This window comes from Homo sapiens, chromosome 4 (assembly GCF_000001405.40).
Source record: "Homo sapiens chromosome 4, GRCh38.p14 Primary Assembly".
Taxonomy (NCBI): Eukaryota; Metazoa; Chordata; class Mammalia; order Primates; family Hominidae; genus Homo; species Homo sapiens.
The window spans coordinates 95,104,405-95,117,821 of NC_000004.12; the positions used below are offsets into that span (position 1 = coordinate 95,104,405).

At 37.1% G+C, this 13,417-nt stretch overlaps 1 protein-coding gene across 12 annotated transcripts in view; it reads left to right on the forward strand.

Annotated features, from left to right (window-relative positions):
- BMPR1B (bone morphogenetic protein receptor type 1B) overlaps positions 1–13,417 on the forward strand; it is a 400,496-nt gene that overhangs the window by 346,450 nt on the left and 40,629 nt on the right. For all 12 annotated transcript variants that reach the window (XM_017008559.2, XM_047416093.1, XM_047416091.1 and 9 more), the window contains 3 exons: positions 4–163; positions 10,316–10,418; positions 11,281–11,383. In XM_017008559.2, the coding sequence (XP_016864048.1) occupies positions 21–163; positions 10,316–10,418; positions 11,281–11,383 (349 nt within the window). In that variant the 5' untranslated portion in view covers positions 4–20. The remainder of the gene's footprint in view (positions 1–3; positions 164–10,315; positions 10,419–11,280; positions 11,384–13,417) is intronic.

A 13,417-nucleotide genomic window follows, 5' to 3' on the forward strand; every position in this document is an offset into this window, starting at 1 on the left:
CAGCAAACTTCCTTGATAACATGCTTTTGCGAAGTGCAGGAAAATTAAATGTGGGCACCAAGAAAGAGGATGGTGAGAGTACAGCCCCCACCCCCCGTCCAAAGGTCTTGCGTTGTAAATGCCACCACCATTGTCCAGAAGACTCAGTCAACAATATTTGCAGGTTGGTGATATAAATGATTTAAAGCTAGCTTTAACAAAAAGTCACACTTTTTCAACTATGCAACTGTAGGCTAGTGTTTCAAAGAACACATTTTAGAGAACAATGCCTAACACTATCGTAAACTCTTAGAGCTGTGCTTGTATTAGAGAAATATTGAATTGTGTTTCACCCTGAAACAATGTTCTAAGCTTCTTTTTGATCCCTCCAGACAGCTCACATACACATGAACACAGACCTCAGATCCCAGGCTCCTGGTAAAGGTGCAAATGCCAATTATTTTCTTTCAAAAGACCTGGTCCCCACAATTAGTTAAACATCAGAGGCTGTCAAATGCGTGTGATTTTGTTTGTTTGTTTGTTTGTTTGTTTCAAGCATTCATCATGCTGATGTTAGTATTTTGGAAAGAACACCTAAGCTGCTGGGAATATTCATAAACTGACTCTGGGAAGCAGTGCAGTGGTAGAGCTCATGCGATTCCCCAAGTTGCTAAGAAAGACATTGTCCAAATACTAGAAAATACTCTTTAATAGGTAATCATGTTCTTATAGATACTTTATAACATTTGAAACTGAACTATTTTGCCTTTTTCTTCCTTAAATGCCTTTATGCAGCTCCATCCATTCCTCTGATCACTATAGCTGCATTTACTCCTTACGGTAAGGTCAACAGTGGATAAAGAGCTATAGCCTAATGAGGCCAGTGTGTGCCAAGAGAGAAGTGGGTCAGCTATCTAGAAGAGCACAGCCCTCGAGTTAAAATGTCAGAGAAGCAGAGTGTGCCTTAAGCTTCAAGAGAGGGCGTGGACTTAAATAGAAAGGTGGACTGCTAGGTTTAGAGCCCAGGTAGAATATCTGAGCAACCATTTGAGGCTTCATTAGCCAGAAGGTACGCAAAGCTGAGTTGAATGCTTTTTTTTTTTCCTTTCTGAGAGCTTTTTAAAAAAGGTTTTTAAGTTTCCCATGAAGCAAAATCTAATATAAGCTTACCAGGGTATTCCAAGAACCTTGTATATTTAGCACAAGAAACATGACTGAGTAACACAGGGAGGGAAACCTGGGTGTATTCATAAATATATATCTCATTTAATCAGCAAAACAACTTATTCTCACCTTTAGACAAATGAAATTTGGGATCCAGAGAGGTCTAGTAACTTGACTCTTGTACTACAAAGTTGTGACCACTGAATTTTTTTGCCAAGGTAAAACGATTCCAAAGCTCAGTTTTTTCCAGGGAAACACTGCCTCTTTATAGTAAATAGAAAAAGTATCAGGAGAGTTTAAAAATGTTTGAAAGAAAGCAAAATTAGCAGGAGCAAACAAAGTAGCGTGGGGTATTTTACTATTGTGTCTTAAGTCTGTGGTATTCAGAATACGCCTGTGTGTGTCATTTGAGCTATTGTCCTGGTGATCAGGATTTTCCAAATATTTTGTCCTGTTTTCCTGATAAGCCATTTGGATGTCCTAAGTTGGTTTGATAGAAAGTGTTCAGTCAGGGTATCTGCAGTGGAAATTCTGTTGTGGGAAGAAGCTTGGCGTGTTCAAAAGAAACTGTTTTTTCTAGAGTACAGGGAGTAGGATCAGGGAGTAGGAACAGTAGAGCATAGTGGTAGGAGCTGAGACAGGAGGTATAGTGACTGTGACCTGGTGGGCTATATTAAGAACGTGATCTTATTCCTAAGGGTGTTGGGAAGCAAGTGAAGGGAGTTTTGCAGCAGGAGTGGTGGTAGGGTTGACATGATCTGATTTGTTTCTTTGCTGCAGAATATTGGATGTATTAGAAGGAGACAGAAGTGAATTCAAGAACAGTTAGGTCAGGGAAATTGAACAGTGGATTCAGTAAAATCAGTTCATGTGCAAGAAAATGATCTTGAGCTAGGGTGGTGCTGGTGTAGGAGTGAGTGAGATCTATTTGAGAAATATTTAGAAGATAGAGCTGTATGATGATGGATTAGATACCATCTAGGAGGACAACCAGAGAGGCTTTATAAGTTTCCAGATGTAGATTTAAATGCATAAGGTAGACTTTTAATGAAAGAGGACAGATGAAAAGAACCAAGTTCCAATCTGGACATGATACATTTGAGGATTTTTATGTATCTGAGTAGAGGTATCAGTATGCAGTTGGATATGGATCTGGGGCTCAGAGAAGAGGTTGAGGAGAGAGGTCAAAATGTGCATAGCATTAGTCACTGTTTGCGGTGAAACAGATAACCTCAGAACCACAGTGGCTTATAATTAAAAACACTTATTTTTCATTCAGGGGTTTGTAAGGAGGCTGTATCCGTGCTGCACTCTGCTGGGATTAGGTGGGCTTCACTTCATGCTGCTGTTTGAGTTTAGGCCTGCTGCACATTTCTTCATTTTTTTTTTTTATTTTGGATCAGCAGCTACCCAAGGCATATTGTTTCTCACAGGAGTGTAAAGGAGTAATCTTTTAAGGCTTCTGCTCATATTGTGTCCTCTGACATTGAATTTTCCAAATCAAGTGACAAAATCAAGGTCACAGTCAAGGGGAAGCATTGTCCCTGGTAAAGTATGAAGAATTGGGATTAATAATAGAACAATCTACCAGTGTATGACTTGGCCATGAGACATTTAATGCTTGGGTAAAGGGGATGTCTGCAAGATACTAAAGAATTCACAATAAAGCAGTGAGTATGGTGTCACTGAAGCCAGGTTTACTTAGAGAGGTAGTAAGGTCAGCTATGTTGGATCTATTAGAGAGTAGAATAAGAACTGAAAAATGGCAATCAGATTTATAGACACTGATAACTGCAGTTTAGAGATATTTAATGTAGTAGAGATGGAAGTCAGATTAAAATGGGTTGTGTTATATGGTTGTCAAACTTTGATTTATGACAGCAAAGAAAAAGTAAACAAAAATACAGAAGAAAGAAAAACAGCCACAGTAAAAATGGAATCCCTCAAAAGAACATAGATATACCATTGCCGTCAACATCAATGGATTAACTTGTAGAAGTTAACAGAAAACTAATATTTATTGAATTTTTAATAAATATTAGCATGTTTACTTTTACCTTTCTTTATTCATTATAACATTCCTATAAAGAATGTAGCACTATCTATGTTTGCTAGGTGAGAATTCCGAGGCTCTAAAAAGTTAAGTAATTTTCCATAGTTATGATGATATGATAGAAAAATTGTGGCCGGGACTCCAAAGTCCTGAATTCTTGGCCAGCGGCCAGTTCTGACATTGGTTCTGAAAGGAGCAAACATTCACTCTTGAGTAAAAGGCACATGTATTTTCCTAATGAAGTATTGATTCCAGTTGAATCTTCCTGTGAGCTGAGATCAGTCATATGTGACTCACAGGGGCCACATTTGTTTCTTTGTCCTAAGACCTATATAAATCCAGGACTTTCTACTTCCATTCCTGTAAGCACACTCTACTCTCTACCCTCCAAATCGGTACTTCTCAGGCTATCTCTAGTGAAAGATAATTTTCTCTCCACAATAAATTGTATACTGATACTTTGCTAAATTATAATAAAAAAATTCTTAGAAAAATTAATTTTTAAAATACTTACAAAATACATGCTCCATTTTTATTGCCTAATATTTACCTTCAACAGACATAAATTTGTTCCTTTAGATTGCTATACAAGTTTTCATTTTTAAATTCACCCCTTCCCAGATCAGTAGCAAGCAGTTTGCTGACCTGCAGGGGAACACACCTTGAGTAATGCTACACTAAGTATTACCCTTCTAGGTAAAACAGTTTAAAGGATAAGGTTGTATTTTCTAATGTGTACCTTAGAAAAGGGCTGGTCTAAATTGTCTGGCTTGAGGCCTTGTACCACCCAGATCTTAGTCAAACTGAGTGTTGTGGTAGGTTTCATGTTCATTATCACTTCCACCTCCCTGGAGAGAATAATCCAAAAGGAGGCAAGAGTGAATAGTACTTAAAAGAGAACCTGAAATCTCACATGCTAATTTAGAGGACATGTGCAAGGTTTTAGAGGCTTGTAAACTCCTTTTCAGTACCATTAATTACTCTATCAGCCTTCGCCAAGGCCAGAGTCATTCTTGGCTTGATCTCTGTCAGGTGCAGATACGGCTGCTTCCAAAATCCATGCCATTTCCACTGCTCATGATATTCACATTAAAGGATGTAGTACAAACATAGTGTGACTGAATACAGTAATAGAGCCTTTTTTATATTTATATTTCAAAGTAAGGGGTAAAGCCATTGTCCTCTCTCCCTCGAGATACCATCTGTTTTCTAAATATCTTTCCATGTGTCAATTTGCGTTGTAATCCATCGAGTTCCATTTCCAGATTCTACTCCTAGGATGACAGACCATCACTGCATACCTTGAGTGCTATAGTTTCCTTGAGTAACTCTCCTTATGTGGCTTTCAACATGCCAGTGTTCTGTTTCAGTTTCCTGTCCTAGCAAGTGTTATCTCAGCCTTGTTTATATATTTTTTCTCTATATAATCAGATCTGGCTTTGCATATCATTCCTTGTTTTACTTGATGTGGTCTGTAATCACATTTTTGTTTCTATCTTACCACCTTTCTCAAGTCCCTCCACTTCCTCACGCATGTTATGCATTTAAAAAATTATTTTTGACTATTTTCTTCAAAGACAATCTTTAATACTTCTTTACTTATCTTATTGGTTTCTTACCAAGAATTCTCCTGCCTGGGCAGTTTTCAGGGTTTACAGATGTAATAAATCAAATTGAATGTTTGCACAAAGGATGTGCAAATGACACCAGGCTGCTTAAATGAGGAATTAGATAAGCCTCCAACTCTGTATCCTGAAGAGTCACAGGTGGAAGAAGGAAAAGCTTAGGGGCTGGAGCCTTTTTACAAAGTTTGTGTTAACTCAGGCTTTTTAAACCTCTTACTGAGTGTGGTGGTATGTTTTCAAACAGGTGCTCCTGACCGTAGGTCTCAGAGGATTTAAGCGTGCATTGTTCCAGCTTGTTTGCACGTTTTACCTTGCATACTGAATGTCATTATAAACCATCCAGGGTTTTATTTTTTCCACGGTTGCCCAGGCCATTTAAATATTGATCTATTTAATTATTTTTTTCCAGTAGAAGATGTTGATTTCAAACCATTGCACCTAAGAGAATGGTGGGTTCTTCATTAGAACTTCTTTTTATTATTATTATTATTATTATTATACTTTAAGTTTTAGGGGACGTGTGCACAATGTGCAGCTTTGTTACATATGTATACAACATGTGCCATGTTGGTGTGCTGCACCCATTAACTCGTCATTTAGCATTAGGTGTATCTCCTAATGCTATCCCTCCCCCCTCCCCCCACCCCACAACAGTCCCCGGTGTGTGATGTTCCCCTTCCTGTGTCCATGTGTTCTCATTGTTCAATTCCCACCTATGAGTGAGAACATTCAGTTATAAGAGGCTGTGATTTTAAATTCACATATGGAGGCTTTTATAAGGAATAACTCTCCTCTTGTACCTCTCATTAGTCATCAATGAGAATTTTAGACGGTCCCAGTTTGTTGCTGGAGTTAATAGAAAGTGATAGTGCAGGGCGCTTTAAAATTATACAGAGAGAACTCTTGAAGATTTTTGAGCAGAGACAATGTAGGATTTATCAGGCTTGCTATATGGAATGGATTAGAGTTAGGAGAGGAGAGAGGAAGTCCTGCAGGAAGGCTCTCAGAGCTGTCAAGGTGAGATGTGGTGAGGGTCCGCATTGGGTGAAATTATACTAATGCTGGTTGAATGTAAAAACTGAGACAATTTCAAAAAATCTTGTACCTCATAGAAAAAATAAACAAAATGCTAAATCATTTGGCAAGGGTACCAGGGAAGGATGTCTGATAGTTACATGATCTTGAGGATAAATAAAAGGGGCATCTCTCACATTGGTACTTCGTCGTTAATGTTGTAACTTCACCTTCTCCCAATACTGTGACCCCTCAGAAGGAAAGCCAGGGAAGGGGAAAGTAGACTCATATGTATTTCACGCTATATTCCGTCCACTGCTATGGGAATCCATCATCTAAGATGATAGGGGAAAAGAAGTAGGATTCTATTACTTTAATAATTACCACACTCAGCATTCTTCTTTGGTTACTTCACAATCAGTAGAAAACACTTAGGCAGCTTATGATGTCTGTCCCTATTCCTGGAAGTTAAATGACTTTTCTCTTTTCCAGGATTGGTGGCCTTCGTAGACTATGAGTTCCTCAAAATGCACCCTTGCATACTCAGCACCCAGCTCTGCTGGAGTCATAGTATGCTTGATAAGTGTAAAACATACCACTGTTAACAAAGCTATGAGCAGCTTTCAGCTATTTTAGTTAATGGACTAAAAAGCTGCACCCTTTAAATGGTAATTCTAAAAGTTATGTGTATCTTTGCGTTTACCTGTGACAAAAACTGAAAACTGACTTTACTCCCTTGAGTGAGAAATAGATATTTTAGAAGAAAAGATGTTCTTAAGAACTTGTTTACAGATGACCTAAAATCAGTTAACCTTTAAAAATCAATTCTGACTAAAATGTAAAAGAAATTCAAAAGAAATTTAAGAGTTGTTGTAGGAAAACTGTTAATCTTTCCAGCCAGGTGCAACTGAGCAGATAGATACCCATCATATAAATATAATGCTTTCAAATTTCCTATCACTTGATTGAACAGAGCAGATAAACTCTTTTTAACTAATACTTTAAATAATTGTTTTACAGTTAAATGAATCTTTATGAAGATCTAAACTGTTAGAGGAAAAGTTCTACAATAGTCTCTTCTCAACTGTGGTGGCTATATGAACAACCCTGGGGTTTACAATAAAGAAACATAAGATCTTAGTGGAATAATAGAATTAAAGGGACCAAAGTTTGGGTAAACCTTGTAAACACTATATTCATGTGAAATAAAGATGCTATCAGTGCAGTTTTAGACATCTTCTAAAATTGGTTTCTAACCATTCTACAACAACTAATGAATGAGTTGGGTTCCAGAAGGCTATATTATAAATCTGTTTTGACCATAATAAATGAAATAAATTTTTGACCATAATAAATGCATCTATTCTCTGAATGCGTATCTACCTAAAAAGAGTATCGCTTGGTCCCTTGAAGTTTTAAAACAGGTAGACACCTTTTTTGCAAGTGTATGTTCACCTGGGCACACTGAAAATCTCTTGAGGTGGTTAAATGCCTGATGATTTTTCTAGATGTTCCTTCTAGACAGTCCTTTGCTTTTGGAATATTTGGGGAACTTAAGGAGCCTAGAACCTGTATAATCATCCAAGAATTGTAACAAAATTGTTCCTGTTTTGCTTTTCTTTCTTTTTCATATTCTTTTTCTTCTCTCCCTGAATCCTCTTCAAGAAAAACAAGACTTGCATTATCACTGCTTTGACTTCATGCAGTCTTTAAATTCTCAAGTGCTTTGCTTTTTCATGAGTTAACATTATGTCAGAAGGCAGTTAGCACTGGTGACTGAATATCTTGTGCACTCAACTACTGTTTCATTTTGCTATCACTTTTCTTCGTCTATAACACAGGGACAGCATTTTTGAAATGTTACATCAATTGTCTTTTTATTTCATTCATAATCATTACTACAGTTCCCTGATTCATCCTATGTTCATGTATATATCTCACTTATTTTCAATTTTGTTTAAAATTATTTCCACTTTTATTTCCTTCATGATTCTTCATCTCATCTTTTTATCACTTCCAACACTCTGGGAACGAGGGTAACAATCTCTATACAAAACTAAGCTTAAACATGGCAACCAGGCAGCAGAATGTTCACATAGGCCAATGGTAAGAGTTAATTGTGACAGCCTGTAGCCGTCTCTTAGAGGTGGGCAAAATTGATTAGCTTTGACTGCGGAACATAGCTTTGTTTCCATTTGTACTTGCTTTAGGGTTGCAAGTTTTCAAGTAATTCTTGAACTTCTGTAATTGTAGTGCTAGTTTCCAGTTGATGTTCCTTGCTGGAGAGCAATGTCAGTGAGGAGCATATAAATTAATTTGCTTTGTGGCAGCTAATATTCCATTGAAATGGCTGTCTCGCCTCCTTTCTTGTCTTCCAACTAAATATTTGATTCCTTTATGAATTTATGGCTTATAGGGGAAGGGACTATTTTCTCAGGGTCTCCCCTCTTTATATTTTTAGCTCCTCTCTCTTTGCAGACAAGGGGTGTGTATTTTTAAAGCTTGAATTTACTGTCTCTGATGTTTCTTTAAATTTCCTAGGACATCATAGCAGTAACTTGACAATAGCTTTACCAGCTTTTTCTGTTCCATTTCTTTTTTATTCTTAACAGTTGCCTAGAAGTGCATTTCTATTTACTCCTATTTTGAGTAAGAAGAACCCATGATAAGGAGAAATTAGTCTTTAGATTTAATTTAGGGTACTTCTCTAGCCCCTATACCTTCCTGATATCATAAAATTAGGATGACCATATTTTCCGGTAATTTTTGAATTTTGATTTAGATGAGAAATGTAAGTTATACATGTAGTCTAAATATGAAGGAAAAGAATAAAAAAGTCACAGGTGTTACTTGTTCATATTGTTTAAAGTAAATTTCTAAGGAACAGATATTTTAATTATTCCCTTCGGTGTTTACATGTTTTACATTTTTATAGCAATTTCAGTAAATTGGTTAAAAAGGCCTGAAGAGTTCAAGGCATGGGCTGTTCAGAGACAGTCTTTCTTCCACAACAATATTCATGCTTTTTGACCTTGGTGTAAGAGAGGGATTTATCATTGGCCCTTTTTAGCCATTCATTAGTATGTTTGAATTTTGTTGTGCTGGCTCTTATAAAGTGAAGTATTTTGGACCACTTGAGGCTTATAAACCAAGTAAACAATTCTGAGGGTGTTGATAATAACTGAAGGGCTAACATATAGCAGCATGCTGCTACCACTAAGACAGAATAGACAAACCCACAAATCATGGCTAGTATCGTTCTCAGAGCTTTATTCCCATGACCTTTCAAGATTACATTGCCATATCTGTCTTGGACGCTGAGCATGCATATATATGAGAAAAGGATAGAGATATAGTTTAGTACTTTATTTCTTAAGACATTCAGTGCTGGTTTATGACTTATATTGAGAGTCTGCTGGCATTCATCACCCAAAGTTGTGAAGATATCAATGTCTGTTTACAAACAGTTCTGTATATAACAGATGTGTTTTTTATTTTAGTCCCAAAGGGCATAGCAGAAAACACATGGTGAAGTGAGAGGCCCTTGATTCAAGGCCCAGTTCCATAACTGTTTGTTCTTTGATCTTGTACAAGTTTGCTACACTTTTATAATTTTAATTTCCTCATCTGTAAGATAGGAATAATAATACTTTCTTTTTCTTATTGTTGAGAGGATTAAATGATGTAGAATAAGTGAAAGTTATTTTTAATCTGGAAAACCATACAGAATTTAAAATTTTATTTCCTCTCCACTGTCTTATCAAGAACCCTTCTTTCTGTTGCCCATCTTTACCCCACCCCCAAATGAAGCCTATACTTCTTACAACAAAGCTTAATTTCTTTATATGACAGGACAGCCCAGAAGCAGAGGTACTAAATGTCAGAATCTCAGTTATGCCATGCTGATCCCAAATCCTACCTGTCTTTAGTTTTTGTGCTTTAATAAGAAATAAGTGTATTTCACTATCTCAGAGCAAGAACAGTATAAACAGTCACCTGCCTGGATTCACACCCTTGCACTCCTTCTCACTAACTGTAAGACTTTTGAAAGTTACTCAAGCCCCCTGAGCCTCAGTTTCCTCATATAGAAAGCAACAGTAGTGCTACCTTCCTCACAGAGTTTGTCTGGATTTGTCTGGAAAAGTAGTATCTGTGAAGGGCCAAAATAAGTGTTCAGTAATTGGTATCTATGGTTTTTCATGGTAATTAATGATGTATATTATATGGAAATGTTAGATCCTTCTTTTTCACAAGTTTCTGGACAAAGGAGATATTACAAAATGTTTTTATGTTTATTAAATCCATTTTCATAAAAGGAAGTTTTTGGATTCTCTTAACAGATCATTGACATTCTCCTTGTTGCAATAAAACAAATGATACACATCACTTATTTCCTTTTCCCCTAGACACACACACACACACACACACACTGACTCACACACACACATTCTGTTTCTCACTTTGCTTGTTTGATCTTCAGCACAGACGGATATTGTTTCACGATGATAGAAGAGGATGACTCTGGGTTGCCTGTGGTCACTTCTGGTTGCCTAGGACTAGAAGGCTCAGATTTTCAGTGTCGGGTAAGGTAGATAACTTGATTCTGTAACCTTTCATTGGCTAGATTTCCAACAAGTTTCAAGCAAGATAAAACCATTCTTTTTCTTGGCCAGCCCATTTTTAGTATAGTCATGAGCTGCACAAAAACATTTAGGTCAGCAACAGATGGTATGTATGATGACAGTGGATGGTGGTCCCATAATATTATAGCACCATATTTTGACTGTACCTTTTCTATGGTTAGATACACAAATGGATACTATTGTGCCTTAATTGCCTACAGTATTAAGTTCAGTGACATGCTGTATGGATTTTTACCCTAGGAACAATAGGCTTTATCTTTTGGCCTATGTGTGTAGTAGGCTATACCATCTAGGTTTGTGCAAGTGTACTCTGTGATCTTCTCACAATGACAGAATCACCTCATAACACATTTCTCACAACATATCCCTGTCTTTAAGTGACACATGATTGTAATTTAGAAAACTGAAATTTTCCATTGGACCAATTCTTCCTTCATTTTGAAATCAAATATTATTTTTATTTTTGCTGTTAACGTCTTGTTTAGTGTCGCATTAGAGCATCTTCCTCAAAATCCAATTTAGCTTGTTGCATTAATCCAAGCCTTCTTCCTCAGTTTATACAATGCACACTAGTTATTAGAAATGTAGTAGTAATTTTGTTGAAATGCAAAAGTTGCAATAAGATAATACATGGTAGCTTGAAATAAATTACCTTATAGAGGAGAACATATTTAAGGTGTTTGAGTGAAATTGTTAGAATTTTAAATTAGTTCTCTAAATAGTGACTATTTTTAAAGTTTTAGATGATTTGACTTTGAAATTTGGAAGAAACTCACTAATAGCTGTTTGGGTTCGATTATAGGACACTCCCATTCCTCATCAAAGAAGATCAATTGAATGCTGCACAGAAAGGAACGAATGTAATAAAGACCTACACCCTACACTGCCTCCATTGAAAAACAGAGGTAAGTGAGGAAGGCTTCCAGCCTGGAAAATCACTAGGTATCATGAAAATAAAAACTAAAAACTAGAATCGTTCTCTCTCAATCTACCTGTACCACTTTCCACTGCTGGAGCAGAGCACTGAGGCCAGATGACATGGAACCATCATTCGAAGACATGTGCAAGTAGTTTGTGGGAAAACAGTCATATGTGACTTCACTTTTATGATTTTTATTTTTTCCCACTTCTGTTCAGAAAATTGCTATTCCTAGAGTTTGTAGTGTATTTCAGGGTGGAGGCAGGAGCTAGCACTCTGCTTCTCCCTGAAAGTTATTCAGAAGTTGTAGTTCACCCAAAAACTACCATTTGTCTATATTTATTTTAAAAGTAAAGACCATATAAAGGGCTAAATTAAACATTATTTGCTATATGGCATTTCCTTTTTTTATGCTAGAGTAACACCTTTTAGTCAAATCGTATCAATATATTGATAAAATGGGGAAGGTATCTAAAAGTTTTAATTTCAAAACTTACCCATTTAAGTGTTGTTCCTTTAAAATGACAAATATTGCCTCCCAAGATATTGCCTCCCAAGAGACCTTTTGTTTGCAACAGGTCTCATGTTCCCTTTCTCCTCCTCCATGCTTTCAGCGCGCGCACACACACACACACACACACACACACACACACACACACACACGGTTTTTTGTTGTTGCAGAGTTTTAAGTCCTAAATCTTATCTAAGTGATTTAAAGTGATTTTTCATGATTGATTTTATTTCTTGAGAAGAGAAAAATCTTTCCAACAAAACATAATGGAATTTCATGACTTTGTTTTGCTTTCTCTCTCTCTCTCTCTTTTTTTTTTTTGAGACAGGGTCTTGCTCTGTTGCCCAGGCTGGAGTGCATGGTGTCATCATAGTTCATTGCAACCTCCACCTCCTGGGCTCAGGCAGTCCTCCCACCTCAGCCTCCCCAGTAGCTGGGAAACAGGTGCACACCACCACACCCAGCTAGAATTTTGTGACAAATGTTTTAACATTTGTTCCTGTTCTAGCCTAGAAAGCTATACAAGATTGATTAATAATGATTCACATCAAAGCCTCACCAGCATTTTTTTTTAATTGTGGCAGGCAACATGCTAGGTATTAGGAATACAGAAATTAATGAAGAAAATTATTCCTCCCAAGAAGTATACATTAGAATGTAAGAGAGCACCGTGTCAATAACTATATTTGTTCAGAAATATCTCATTAGTAGAGTTAGATTATAAAGTGTATTAAGGACATAATAGAGTGAGTGGCTGGCTCTACCTGGGGGAGGAGGTTGTCAGAATAGCTTCCTAGAAGTGATACTTGAACAAGACTTTAAGGATGAAGAGGAGTGTGCTAAGTGGATAAGGCAGGATAGGCTAAGTATATAGAAAGTTTAAAATTTAAATGGCTAACTTTAGCCACATAATCTGCTAAAAAGTACATTAATTAATCCATTTTAGCCTCACAGCAGCCCTGTGAAGTACATAGAATTGTTCTTCCAACTTTAAAGATAAGGAAAACACAGCACCGGAAAGTTTATTAACTTTGAGTTTGCATAGCCTATGAGTAGCAGTGACTCTAAACAGATGCAGTAGTTAAGTGCAGAGGTCTGGTTTGTAATATTGGAGAGCCATTTGCTAACTACAGGAGTATGAAACAGCATGACTGGTTGGAGAAAAATCCCATAATTAAGAGAGATGAGGGCTGGGCACAGTGGCTCACACCTGTAATCTCAGCAGTTTGGAAGACCAAAGTGGGAAGATCGCCTGGGCCCAGAAGTTCAAGACCAGCCTGGGCAACATAGCAAGGCTCCATCTCTAAAAAAAAAAAAATTTTAATGATCTGGGCATGGTGGTATACATCTGTAGTTGCAGCTACTAGGGAGGCTAAGGTGGGAGGATCACTTGAGCCCGGAAGTTCGACATTACATTGCGCTACAGTCCTGCCACTGCACTGCAGCCTGGGTGGCAGAATGAGACACTCTTTCTAAAAAAATCTTTTTAAATAAATAAGAAAAGAGAGA